Source organism: Homo sapiens, chromosome 17 (assembly GCF_000001405.40).
Source record: "Homo sapiens chromosome 17, GRCh38.p14 Primary Assembly".
Lineage (NCBI taxonomy): Eukaryota > Metazoa > Chordata > Mammalia > Primates > Hominidae > Homo > Homo sapiens.
The window spans coordinates 49166954-49179764 of NC_000017.11; the positions used below are offsets into that span (position 1 = coordinate 49166954).

General features: G+C 43.7%; 1 protein-coding gene across 4 annotated transcripts in view; it reads left to right on the top strand.

The window, feature by feature from the left end:
- Positions 1 to 9887, top strand: part of B4GALNT2 (beta-1,4-N-acetyl-galactosaminyltransferase 2 (SID blood group)) — a 56497-nt gene extending 46610 nt beyond the window's left edge. For all 4 annotated transcript variants that reach the window (XM_017024173.2, NM_001159388.2, NM_153446.3 and 1 more), the window contains exons 10-11: positions 1728 to 1947; positions 2570 to 9887. In XM_017024173.2, the coding sequence (XP_016879662.1) occupies positions 1728 to 1947; positions 2570 to 2775 (426 nt within the window). In that variant the 3' untranslated portion in view covers positions 2776 to 9887. The remainder of the gene's footprint in view (positions 1 to 1727; positions 1948 to 2569) is intronic.
- The last annotated feature ends 2924 nt before the right edge of the window (positions 9888 to 12811 follow it).

Here is a 12811-nt window from a genome sequence, read left to right on the forward strand (position 1 = left end):
GTGACACCTGTCTCAAAAAAAGAAAATAATAAAAACATCAAAAGTAAATTCACTGTAGAAAAGAAAAAGGGGCATGGATGAGAAGGTAAGTGGTGTCGTGATCACAGTTAACTCTACTGCAAGTGGACAATCCCCAAAACACCTAGATCAGCAAAGACATCTCTTGGCAACTCTTACAGAGACCAGATCACGATAACTTAAGAGAGAAGATGTTCCAGCTCATGTAACAACCACACTGGCAGCTGAGTTGGCTCCAGGATTATCCTGGATCAGCTTCTTTTTCTTGTTGCTCCTCAATCCTTTGGTCCCTGGCTGCATGGCCAGGAGGAAGAGGGGAAGAGGAAGTGAAGGGAGAGCAGGTTTCTTTTAAGGATGTGATGTAAACGTTTCTCGCATCGGTTCTAAATCATACCCCTTCAGCCAAAACTTTGTCACACAGTGAAACGTTGCTGCAAGGGAGGTGGGGAAATGCAATCTTTTTTTTCTTTAAATAATAAATGGGCTTTGTTTTTTATTTTTATAGATTGAGGGGGCCCAAGTGCAGATAGCTTATACACATGTATTACGTAGTGGTGAAGTCTGGGCTTTTAGTGTACCCATTACCTGCATAACGAACATTGTACCCCACAGGTAATTTTTCAACCCTCACCTACTCTTTTTTTTTTTTTTTTTTTGAGACAGAGTCTCGCTCTGTCACTTAGGCTGGAGTGCAGTGGCGCAATCCTGGCTCACTGCAGCCTCTGTCTCCCAGGTTCAAGGGATTCTCTTGCCTCAGCCTCCTGAGTAACTGGGACCATAGGCACATGCCACCATGCCCGGCTGATTTTTGTATTTTTAGTAGAGACAGGGTCTCACCATATTGGCCAGGCTGCTCTCGAACTCCTGACCTCAGGTGATCCACCCACCTCAGCCTCCCAAAGTGCTGGGATTACTGGTGTGAGCCACCACGCCCAGCCTAACCCTCAACCACTCTTAACCTCCTACCTTTTGTATTCTCCAGTGTCTATTATTCCACACCGTATGCCTGCATGTACCCATTGTTTAGCTCCCAGAAATGCAGTCTTTAGCTGACTAGTTGACTATGTCGTGAAACTCAGAAGGGTCATTTATTAAAAGGAAGAGGGAAAGAACGGGTGATGGGGGACAATGAGCAGACTTTACCACATCACCCTTAGAGGATTATGATTCTTTCAGAAATAGATGTACTTGCTCATCTGTTGTGCTCAGGCTCAAACATGAAAATGCACATCTCTTCCATGAGTGCATGGATAGGCAGCTCCAAGAGGTAAGCCAGGAGCAGAAAATACTAGGAAGACAGCTCGAGACAAACAGCTCCCTGCAAGAAATCTAGCAAGTGGAAACTCCGCAAATGGACCAGTGCACACAGGCTGCCTCTTACCTGTACTGCAGTACTCCTCTCCCAGTGGAAGGGAGTGAGTTATCTTCTTCTGGAAAGATAACCTTCTTTGGTCTTGGGTAAGGGTTACTCATGCCAAGGAGATTTTCTGGGGTAGGCAGGAAATGAAAGAGCCCAGGGACCCAACAGTGGTATAGTGAAAGCCATGGCCACAGCAGCAACGAGGGAGTAACTGAGGGATAATTTGAAGGATAGACAGAGAAATAACAATTCTTGTTATAACCGAGGTGCAGTCCAGCGAGTCTTCCTGGAAGAGGCAGGATGAATATTGATCTGCACTCTAACATGGATTTCTCTGCCTGCTGGCTAGGTAGGCGGCAGTGTGCTGGGAAATGTGTTCCAGTTTAAGTTGTTGCTGGAACAGAGTGAGAATGGGGCCTGCCTTCACAAGAGGATGGGATTTTTCCAACCCCTGGATGGCTTCCCCAGCTGCGTGGTGACCAGTGGCGTGGTCAACTTCTTCCTGGCCCACACGGAGCGACTCCAAAGAGTTGGCTTTGATCCCCGCCTGCAACGAGTGGCTCACTCAGGTGGGAAGGCTGAAAGAGTGAGGGAGGGAGCTGGGCTGGGAATTAGCTGCAGAAGTTTGTTCTTTCCAAGGGCTGTACCCGGCTGGCTGATCATAGTCGCTTGCCCAGTAGCAGTACATCCCTTTCCCCTTTCCCCTTTCTCCCCAGACTAGGGAGCTCTTGATCTCTCTTACCTCCCTCCTCACGTCTCTTTGACTTCTGTGTCTCCTGTAGGCTGCCCTTCTTTTCCTTCCCCTTCCTTTCCCTACAGCTCTGTCTTCTTCCTCCTTTCCCATGCTGCTTCATATTCTATTTTTTCAGAAATCCTTTCCTATTAACTGCTCTCTCTTTCCCTCTTACTCCATCAGCCCTGGAGTCCGCAGTTCTGTCCAGTTTGAAAGCCAATCTGTGCCACTCTGCCTCTGTGCCCATATCTCTGCCTGAGAAATGAGCTTATTTATTTCCTTCCAACTCATCAGCAGGGACAGGCTCCTAGAGTTAAGGGTGTGGCTTCACGTGGGGCTGAACCTCCCCAGTGTATGAACTGTGTCCTCTCCCTGGGACTCTCCCCCACCAGACCTAGAATAGTGCCCACTTTTCTGACCGCAGCTCCCACTTCCTTCTGCTCTCCCTCTCTTTGCAGAATTCTTCATTGATGGGCTAGGGACCCTACTCGTGGGGTCATGCCCAGAAGTGATTATAGGTCACCAGTCTCGGTCTCCAGTGGTGGACTCAGAACTGGCTGCCCTAGAGAAGACCTACAATACATACCGGTCCAACACCCTCACCCGGGTCCAGTTCAAGCTGGCCCTCCACTACTTCAAGAACCATCTCCAATGTGCCGCATAAAGGTGTGAGGGCATAGGAGAAACACTAGGCTGGCTGGTTATGGTATCTATAGCAGGCCACCAAAAACTGGACTCCTGATAGGTGAACGTTGTACCAAACCAGCTGGTGGGTAGGGAAAAGGGAAATGGCTCAGTTACTGGAAGTACCAATCAAAGGTGAAGGGTCACTGGAAATGAACCAGTCACTGACCAGGGCAATGGAGACTGTATTAATAGCAATGATGATTTGTACAATGCCCTGCCTTTTTTGAAGCATTTGCATGGGCAGTATCTCACATCATCTCATCTGATATCACACAAAGATGACATTGGTTGGTGTCCTCAGTCAAAAGAACAGCTGCCTGGTCCTTGATAGTTGTTTGGTGGAAATTCTGTCACAGTCAGAAGCATCGGATCCAGCATCACTGTCATCCCTATATTTTTATTAGGTTCTATCTTGTAGACTCAAAAAATGTGAACATTCCAGGGTCCTTGCCTTGAGGAGGTTTGCAGCCTGGTTCAGTTCAGTCCAATCACAGAATTAGGCAGCCGGGGTCAGAGGATCAGAGAAGGGAAGGGGTCACCAGGTCCCAGGTGGTGGAGGAAGACTCCGTGGAGTGAACTTGTTAGGAGCCTGAAAGCAGACATTCAGGCATCAGAGAGGGTAGGAGGGCCCTGGGGCCATCCCACTGTCCACCAGAACAAAGGCTGCCCTGGCATCAGACTCACTCCAGACCTGTTCCAGAATGCCAGGGATTGAACTCAGAGCCCATGCCAAGGCATGATGGTGAACAGACAGTGTGAGTGTGGTGACAAGCCACTAAACTCCAGGGACCTGAGGCCAGTTGCTGGTCACTCAAAACTCATGTCATTTACAGAGTGGTTCCATCACTCTGTTGTTGGATAAGCCTCTTTCTGTTGCCTGGGGGTTGGCAGATTGCCGAGACCAGCTTGGTCATGGAGACCCTAACCCAGTGGTGCTAGAGGAATTAAAGACACACACATAGAAATATAGAGTGTGGAGTGGGAAATCAGGGGACTCACAGACTTCAGAGCTGAGAGCCCTGAACGGAGTTTGACCCACATATTTATTGACAGCAAGCCAGTGATAAGCATTGTTTCTATAGATTATAGATAAACTAAAAGTATTCCTTACAGGAAACAAAGGGATGGGCCGAAACAAAGGGATGGGCTCTGGCTAGTTATCTGCAGCAGGAACATGTCCTTAAAGCACAGATAGCTCATACTATTATTTGTGGCTTAGGAATGCTTTAAGCGGTTTTCCACCCTGGGTGGGCCAGGTGTTCCTTGCCCTTATTCTGATAAACCCACAACCTTCAGTTTGGGCATCATGGCCATCATGAACATGTCACAGTACTGCAGAGATTTTGTTTATGGCCAGTTTTGGGGCCAGTTTATGGCCAGATTTGGGGGCCTGTTCCCAACACGTTCCCCTTTTTGTTTTCCAAAGTGATAAAAGCAAAGGCAGCTTTGTCATGGTGAGCTAATTCTCACAGGAGTCAGGATCCGCACCTGCAGACTATACAAAGACAAACAACACAGATTAAAAGCACAATCATCATTGAAATCACAGAGCTTCCAAGTGTCTTTATCCACTTTAATGGGTTAATATCTGCTAATCTGTCTGCAGCTCCTTCAAGCACTCCAGTTCCTGGCATTAAGGTCAAGTGTGCCTGGGATGCTTTAAATATTTGTTCTTTTAATTTTGCAATATGCAAAGACAAGTTTGTAGAGTGTCCTTCTAGATGCTTTTTTATTCTTTCCCAAATTTTGATCTTATTAACAGACATTAATAGTTTCCACAAATCCTTATGTTTAGCTTCTACAGTGGACCATATCATTTGAGGTTGAGGTGCCACTATACCGCCACGTTTCCAGATAATGGGAACTCTTGCTGTATTTCTTACCATTTCTACCATCTGACTGTTTTGTTTAGACCAGCTGAACATAGTGTGGCTGTGGCACACAGACTGAGAGGTGTAATTTAAGCTAAACATCCCCTTAGGGGACCAATCAATAATGATTCCATAGGAATCGTTGTGCAGCACCTCTACCTGTTCTGCAATGCAATCTTCCCAAACAAGTACATTCATTATTTCTGGCCAGGTCTAATTCTATTTACAAATAGGTTTTGAGCTGCCTTTGCTTTGCCTCAATTATAGGAGCAGATTTATTATGGTAAATATTAAGAGCAGAAAGCATGTGTAACTGTGTCACACAGTGATTACATCCAGGCATTATTGCCAGCCAAGATTGATAAATATGCCCAATAAGTATAACTGTTCTCTGTGTTGTTCCTTGTTGAAGGAATACTCATGGCAATGGTGATCACCACTATCATATCTATCATTAAATTACTCATTGTGACTGGTTGTCCCACTTTCCTCAGGTTTTCTTCCACCATCTGTGACAGCTTCTTGATCTGTCCCCAGGTAGGTGGCTGTGTTCGACAGCTGTTGCTCATGATAGTTGGGGTCCTCCTCAGCATCAGTCTTGACATGGCTGCAACCAGGGGATCCTCGGGATCCTCCTGGAATCTCTTCCTCAGCATCTGGCTCGTGGCAAGGTTTCAGGTGTCTTGATGGCACCCAAATTGGCTATTGATTCGGTCCTGGAGAAACACAAGCATAACCTCTACCCCAAGTTATTATTTTACCTATTTCCCAACTTTTTGTTATTGTATCTCTCCACCAAACCAGTTGTTCTGCTTCTGTCTTTGCAGCTGGTTTCTGTAGATGCTGTTCAGCTGCTGGCCTTTAAGCAGGCTCAAAAAATTTAAAGTCAATAATGCTAGAATCAATTGCATATGGGGTGTCCCGTAGTCCCTGCTTCTCCCCTTTTGCTTTTGCAACTGCTGTTTCAGGGAGAGATTCATTCTTTCTACTATGGCTTGTCCTTGAGAATTATATGGGATGCCAGTAATGTGTTTAATATTCCATATAGAGAAAAATGTAGCTAGAGCTTGGCTAGTACAGCCTGGGGCATTATCTGTTTTAATAGAAGCTGGAATGCCCATCACCGCAAAACACTGCAAAAGGTGACGTTTAACACAGGCAGAAGACTCTCCTGATTGGCATGTAGCCCAGACAAAGTGAGAAAAGGTGTCCACACATACATGTACATAAGCTAGTCTCCCAAACGAGGGAACATGTGTGACATCCATTTGCCAAAGAGAATTAGGTTCCAATCCTTGAGGATTAACTCCTCCTGTAAAAGATGAGGAATGCACCATTTGGCAAGTTGGGCATCGCTGGATAATAGCTTTAGCTTCTTTCCAGGTAATGCCGTATCTGTGTTTGAGACCAGAGGCATTAACATAGGTTAAATTGTGAAAGTGTCTAGCGTTAGATATTGCATTAGCAACTAGGTGATCAGCCATTTGATTCCCTTCAGTTAAAGGTCCTGGAAGAGGTGTATGAGCCCTAATGTGAGTGATGTAAAAAGGATGCATTCTACTCCTGACTGCTGTTTGCAATTGGGTAAATAAAGCCATCAGTTGCTCATCTGTGTGGAATCGTAGTTGAGCATTTTCAATTAATTGTGTGGAATGAATCATGTATGAAGAATCAGAAATCACATTGATAGGCCTATTAAAAGCAGTCAATACCTCAATTACAGCTATAAGCTCTGCTTTTTGAACTGAAGTATAGGGCATCTGAAGCCCTTACTTTTCAAGCCAGAGTTAGAAGCTTTACCATTACTAGACCCATCTGTGAAGACATTTTCAGCACCTTCAAGTGGTTTGAATTTAGTTATTTTAGGGAGAATCCAATTAGTTAATTTCAAAAATTGAAACAATTTTGTTTTGGGAAAATGATTATCAAGAATACCCACAAAGTCAGCTAAATGGGTTTGCCAGGTAAGACTATTTATAAAAGCTTGCTCTATTTGTGCCTTCATGAGAAGGACAATAATTTTTCCAGGACCATATCCATGTAATTTAACAATCTGAGTTCTCCCATTTCCTATCATAGTAGCGATTTGATCCAAATAAGGAGTTAGAGTCCGTGAATTAGTATGTGGAAGAAAAAGCCGCTCTACAAGATCTTGCTCTTGAACAATAACACCAGTAGGTGAATGCCGAGTTGAAAAAATTAGCAAATCTAGAGTCTTTTCTGGATCTATTATATTTATTTGAGCTTTATGGACTTGCTTTTTGATGAGCTGCAGCTCTGCATCAGCTTCTTTTGTTAATTGCCGAGGGCTATGAGACTAGCATCTCCTCTAAGGTTAGAAAATGGCATAGGTAGGAATGCCTAGAGTAGGTCATATCCAATTAATGTCCCCTGGTAATTTTTGAAAGTCATTTAATGTTTTCAGTTGATCCCTACATATGGTTACTTTCTGTGGCACAATGATAGTGTCATTTACTGAAGTCTCCAAGTAGGAGTAAGGAGTAGCAGTCTGAATTTTGTCAGGAGCTATAATTAAACCAGCATGAGAAATCAAATTTTGCAAGTGATCATAACATTGGAGTAATATTTCTCGAGTGGGGGGCAGCACAAAGTATATCGTCCATATAATGAATAATGTAACACTGTGAAAATTTTTTATGAGTAGGTTCAATTGTTTGCCCTACATAAGTCTGGCAAATTGTTGGACTGTTTAACATGCCTTGTGGCAACAGTTTCCAGTGAAAATGCTTAGCAGGCTGCAGGTTGTTTACTGCAGGAATTGTAAATGCAAACCATTCACAGTCCTGCTCAGCTAAGGGGATAGTAAAGAAACAGTCTTTTAAATCTATGACTATTAAAGGCCAATTCTTTGGAATCATAGCAGGAGAAGGCAGTCCTGGCTGCAATGTCCCCATAGGTTGTATAACTGAATTAATGGCTCTTAAGTCAGTTAACAGTCTCCATGTACCTGATTTTTTCTTAATTATAAAAACTGGAGAGTTCCAAGGGGAAAATGTTGGAGCTATGTGTCCTTTTTCTAATTGTTCAGTAACTAAGTCCTCTGAGCCTCCAGTTTCTCTTTACTTAGCAGTCATTGTTCTATCCAAATTGGCTCATCTGTTAACCATTTTAAAGGTATAGGTTCTGGAAGCTTAACAATGGCTGCCATCAAAAATGATATCCTAAACCTTGGCAGGAACTTTGTCTTTCCGCTTGAAGTGGTTCCTTCAAATCTTGCAAATTTTTTCCTAGTCCCATACCAGGGACATACCCCATTTCATGCACCATACGTTGACTTTGAGGGCTATACAATTGCTCTAGAATTAGAACTTGTGCTATCCATTGTTGTAACAAATCTCTTTCCCATAAATGTATAGGTACAGAAGTTATAATTGGTTGAATAGTCCCATGTTGTCCATCGGGCCCCTCACAATGCAAAATATAATTACTTTGATATACTTCAGGGGCTTTACCAACTCCAACTATGTTAAATTGAGTGGGTTGAATTTGCCACGTGGACAGCCAGTGCTGTAGAGAAATGATTGAAATGTCTGCTCCTGTATCTACCAAACCTTTAAATTTCTTTCCCTGAATAGTTATTTCACAGGTAGGATGTTTATCAGTAATTTGATTCACCCAATAAGCTGCTTTGTCTTGTTTATTTGTGCTTCCAAATTCTCCTATTCGTTTAATTTCACTTTTCCCCATTTCCACATACGGCACAATCAGAAGTTGTGCTATACGCTTTCCTGGCTCTGCTTTCCAAGGAAAAGAAGTAAATATAACAATTTGAATTTCCCCATTGTAATCTGAATCAATGACTCCTGTATGTACTTGCACTCCTTTTAAATTTAAACTAGATCTACCTAGAAGTAATCCTATCATCCCCCCGGCAAGCATCCACAGACCCCTATTGGAACTTTTTGTGGGGATTCCCCAAGCATAAGGCTCACAGCTTTTGTGCAGTATAAATCTACTGTGGCACTACTGGCTGTCGTGGGGGACAGACATTGTACAGGGGTGAGGGAGTGAGCTATAATATTTCCCTGTTGATCTGGGGGGTATATCCTAACAGGGAACTGCCAAGCCTCTATATCACCCTCTCGTCTAGCTGGCTCAATTCCTGCCTGAATAGAACTGAGAGCAGTCACTCGAGGCACTGCTAGAACAGTCACTGGGGCAACTACTTTTCACCCAGTGTCCTCTGGAAAAGAAAGATCTGTAGGGTCAGGTCACTCTTTTTCTTCAAAATAATGAGGGGGTGAAGAAGAGTAGGGACAAACCTCTTCCTCATTTGCCGCTTTAGCTTCAGCCAGCAAACAAACCTGCTGTGTCATCTCTTCTGTTACTTTGTTATACTTTCCTTCCTTCTCATCATTAGTGTGAAAAGGTTCTAAGGTGGAACGCACCAGAGCCCACACTTGTCCCATTGTTACCCTGATGTTTCCGAGCTCCCCTTCTTACTCACCATGGGGATTGCTTAAGGGTACTCGGGTGTCCTCCAGCTTAGTTCCACATTCTCCAACCATCACTCCAGCGACCCTTCAACTGGGGTTCAAGCCCCACGTTGGGCGCCACTTGCCGACACCAGCTCGGTCTTGGAGACCCTAACCCAGCGGCGCTAGAGGAATTAAAGACACACACACAGAAATATAGAGTGTGGAGTGGGAAATCAGGGGACTCACAGCCTTCAGAGCTGAAAGCCCCGAACAGAGTTTGACTCACATGTTTATTGACAGCAAGCCAGTGATAAGCATTGTTTCTAAAGATTATAGATTAACTAAAAGTATTCCTTATGGGAAACAAAGGGATGGACTGAAACAAAGGGATGGGCTCTGGCTAGTTATCTGCCACGTCCTTAAGGCACAGCTCGCTCATGCTATTGTTTGTGGCTTAGGAACACCTTAAGAGGTTTTCCCCCCTGGGTGGGACAGGTGTTCCTTGCCCTCATTCCAGTAAATCCACAACCTTCAGTGTGTGCATCATGGCCATCATGAACATGTCACAGTGCTGCAGAGATTTTATTTATGGCCAGTTTATGGCCAGATTTGGGGGCCTGTTCCCAACAGCAGATTCTATGACCACTTCAGCCCTGCCTTTACAGTTTCTGTTTACCTGTAAACTTTTTCTTCCTGTGGCCTAGGGTAGTTCAGGATCACTAAAAATGTGTTCTGTGATATATTAATAAAAATTCCTGAAAAATGGACTTACAGCAAAATTGATTTTGGTACTCAAATAATTTTGAAAAATATTGCATGCTATGTCTCCTTCTTGTAAGGTTGCAGTTCACATTAGTGTAGTAAAGCCTCTGAGAAGACCTGAAGTAAGGAAATCTCTTTAACTTTGTTTAATTCAGCATTTCTGAAGTACAGTTAGAGACAAGCAGTCATTTTTTATTCTCCCAAAACAGAACTGAGCACACACCTCATTCATTGTATGTCATAAAGATTATATTGCTATAACTTTTTTTGTATAGTAACATAGCTATAGGCCAGGCATGGCGGTTCACACCTGTAATCCCAGCACTTTTGGAAGCCATGGCAGGAAACTTGCTTGAGCCTCAGGAGTTTGAGGCCAGCCCAGGCAACATAGCAAGACCCCATCTCTAGTAAAAAAAAAAAAAAAAGACGAACATAGGCAGCCTTTGATTGGAAGAAAAAAATAAGATAAACAAGCATAGATATATAGGAAAACAACATTGCATTGTCCCATCCCAATGCAGTCCCATATGACTCCCCTTAGTTCCAAGCAAGAAGAGCACCTACCTGGACCTTGTGCTCTAGAGTACCTTGCATGTCACAAACGTGCACTTACTGACAAAGCCCAGGGCATCTCTGTCACTTAGGATCCAGTGCTTGGCACTAGTACAGCGTGACTGGTAACCCTAAACATCCGTTCTTGGGACTAATGCTATTCAGGCCCCAGGAAAATACTTCTATACTTCTCCACATCTCTTGCCTTGTGTCATCAAAAGACAATTGCATCCAAATGCAACGAAAGTTTGTGGACAGCGCTTTGGAGTACTGATAGGATTTTGGCTGCAACGTGCTTAGGTAAAAGGAAAAGACAAATTTTAAAATTTGCCAGATTCTGCCGGGCACAGTGGCTCAAGCCTGTAATCCCAGCACTTTGGGAGGCTGAGGTGGGTGGATCATTTGAATTCAGGAGTTTGAGACCAGGCTGGCCAACATGGTTAAAACCCTGTCTCTACTAAAAATACAAAAATTAGTCGGGTGTGGTAGCACATGCTTGTAATCCCCAGCGACTTGGGAGGCTGAGACAGGAGAATTGCTTGAACCCAGAGGCGGAGGTTGCAGTGAGCTGTGATCATGCCACGGCTCTCCAGCAGCCTGGGCAACAGAGTGAGACCCTGTCTCAGAAAAAAAGAAAGAAAAGAAAGTGTTGGTCAGGCACAGTGGGTCATGCCTATAATCCCAGCACTTTGGGAGGCAGAGGCGGGAGGATCACTTAAACCCAGGAGTTCAAGACCAGCATTGGCAACATAGTGAGACCCTGTCTCTATATTTAAAACTTTTTTTAAGTAAAAAAAAAAAAAAAAATTAAAGTCTTGCCATGAAAAAACGTCAGCTCAACTAAAACCTTGTGCTTAGGAATTCTGACACAAGCCCTTATCTCATTGCAGGCTGACAACAAAGAGCTCCCAGACCAGGCCTCAGAGCACACTTTGAATAGAATTGCTTTAGATTAGTGATCAGCAAACATTTTTGTAAAGGACTAGATAGTAAATATCTTAAGTTTTGTAATCCACATAAGGTCTCTGTTACATATTCTTTTAAAAAGATAACTCTTTAAAACTGTAAAAGCCATACTGAGGGCTTAAGGGGCCATTCAAAAACAAGCCATAGGCTGCATTTAGCCCTTGGCTGTAGTTTGCTGCTTTACTTAAAACTGTTCTTAGAGTACAAATTATGTGAACAATCTTGATTATAAAAGCATAATTAGTGATTTTGTTGAAATAAAAGCAAGAAAATTAAATTATGTGGGATAAATATACGATAATTTACAAATTATATATATGTGTATGTGTCTTTGTTTTTTTGTTTGTTTTTGAGACAGAGTCTCACTCTGTTGCCCAGGCTGGAGTGCAGTGTTGTGATCTTGGCTCACTGCAACATCCGCCTCCCAAGTTCAAGCAATTCTCATGCCTCAGTCTCTCTAGTAGCTGAGATTACAGGCACCCACTACCATGCCCAGCCAATTTTTGTATTTTTTGTAGAAAGGAAGTTTCACCATGTTGACCAGGCTCATCTTGAACTCCTGATCTCAAGTGATCTGCCCACCTTGGCCTCCCAAAGTGCTGGAATTATAGCCGTGAGCCACTGCACCCAGTCAAGTGGTGGTTTTTTTGAACAACTAAGAGTAGGCAACATATCAAAGCAATGGAATTTATTTATTTGTTTATTATTATTATTATTATTTTGAGACAGAGTTTTGCTCTTGTCACCCAGACTGGAGTGCAATGGCGCGATCTCGACTCACTACAACCTCCGCCTCCGACATTCAAGCGATTCTCTTGCCTCAGCCTCCTGAGTAGCTGGGATTACAGGCATGTGCCACCACACCCGGCTAATTTTGTATTTTTAGTAGAGACAGGGTTTCTCCATGTTGGTCTCAAACTCCCGACCTCAGGTGATCCGCCCACCTCAGCCTCTCAAAGTGCTGGGATTACAGGAATGAGCCACCATGCCCAGCCAATTTAATTATTATTATTATACATACCTTGGTGTTCAGTTGATGGATTGTTGATGTTTGGACGAGTAAGAACAAATGGCTCAGTGCGGTGGCTCACACCTGTAATCCCAGCAGTTTGGGAGGCTGAGGCGGGCTGATCACCTGAGGTCAGGAGTTGGAAACCAGCCTGGCCAACATGGTGAAACTCTATCTCTACTAAAAATACAAAAAATTAGCTCAGCATGTGGCATGTGCCTGTAATCCCAGCTACTCGGGAAGCTGAGGCACGAGAATCGCTTGAACATGGGAGGCAGAGGTTGCAGTGAGGTGAGATCATGCCACTGCACTCCAGCCTGGTCAACAGAGCAAAACATATTTAAAAAAAAAAAACCCCAAACAAACAAAACCACCACCACTTTACAATTCTTTTTAATTTTGCCACTATAATGA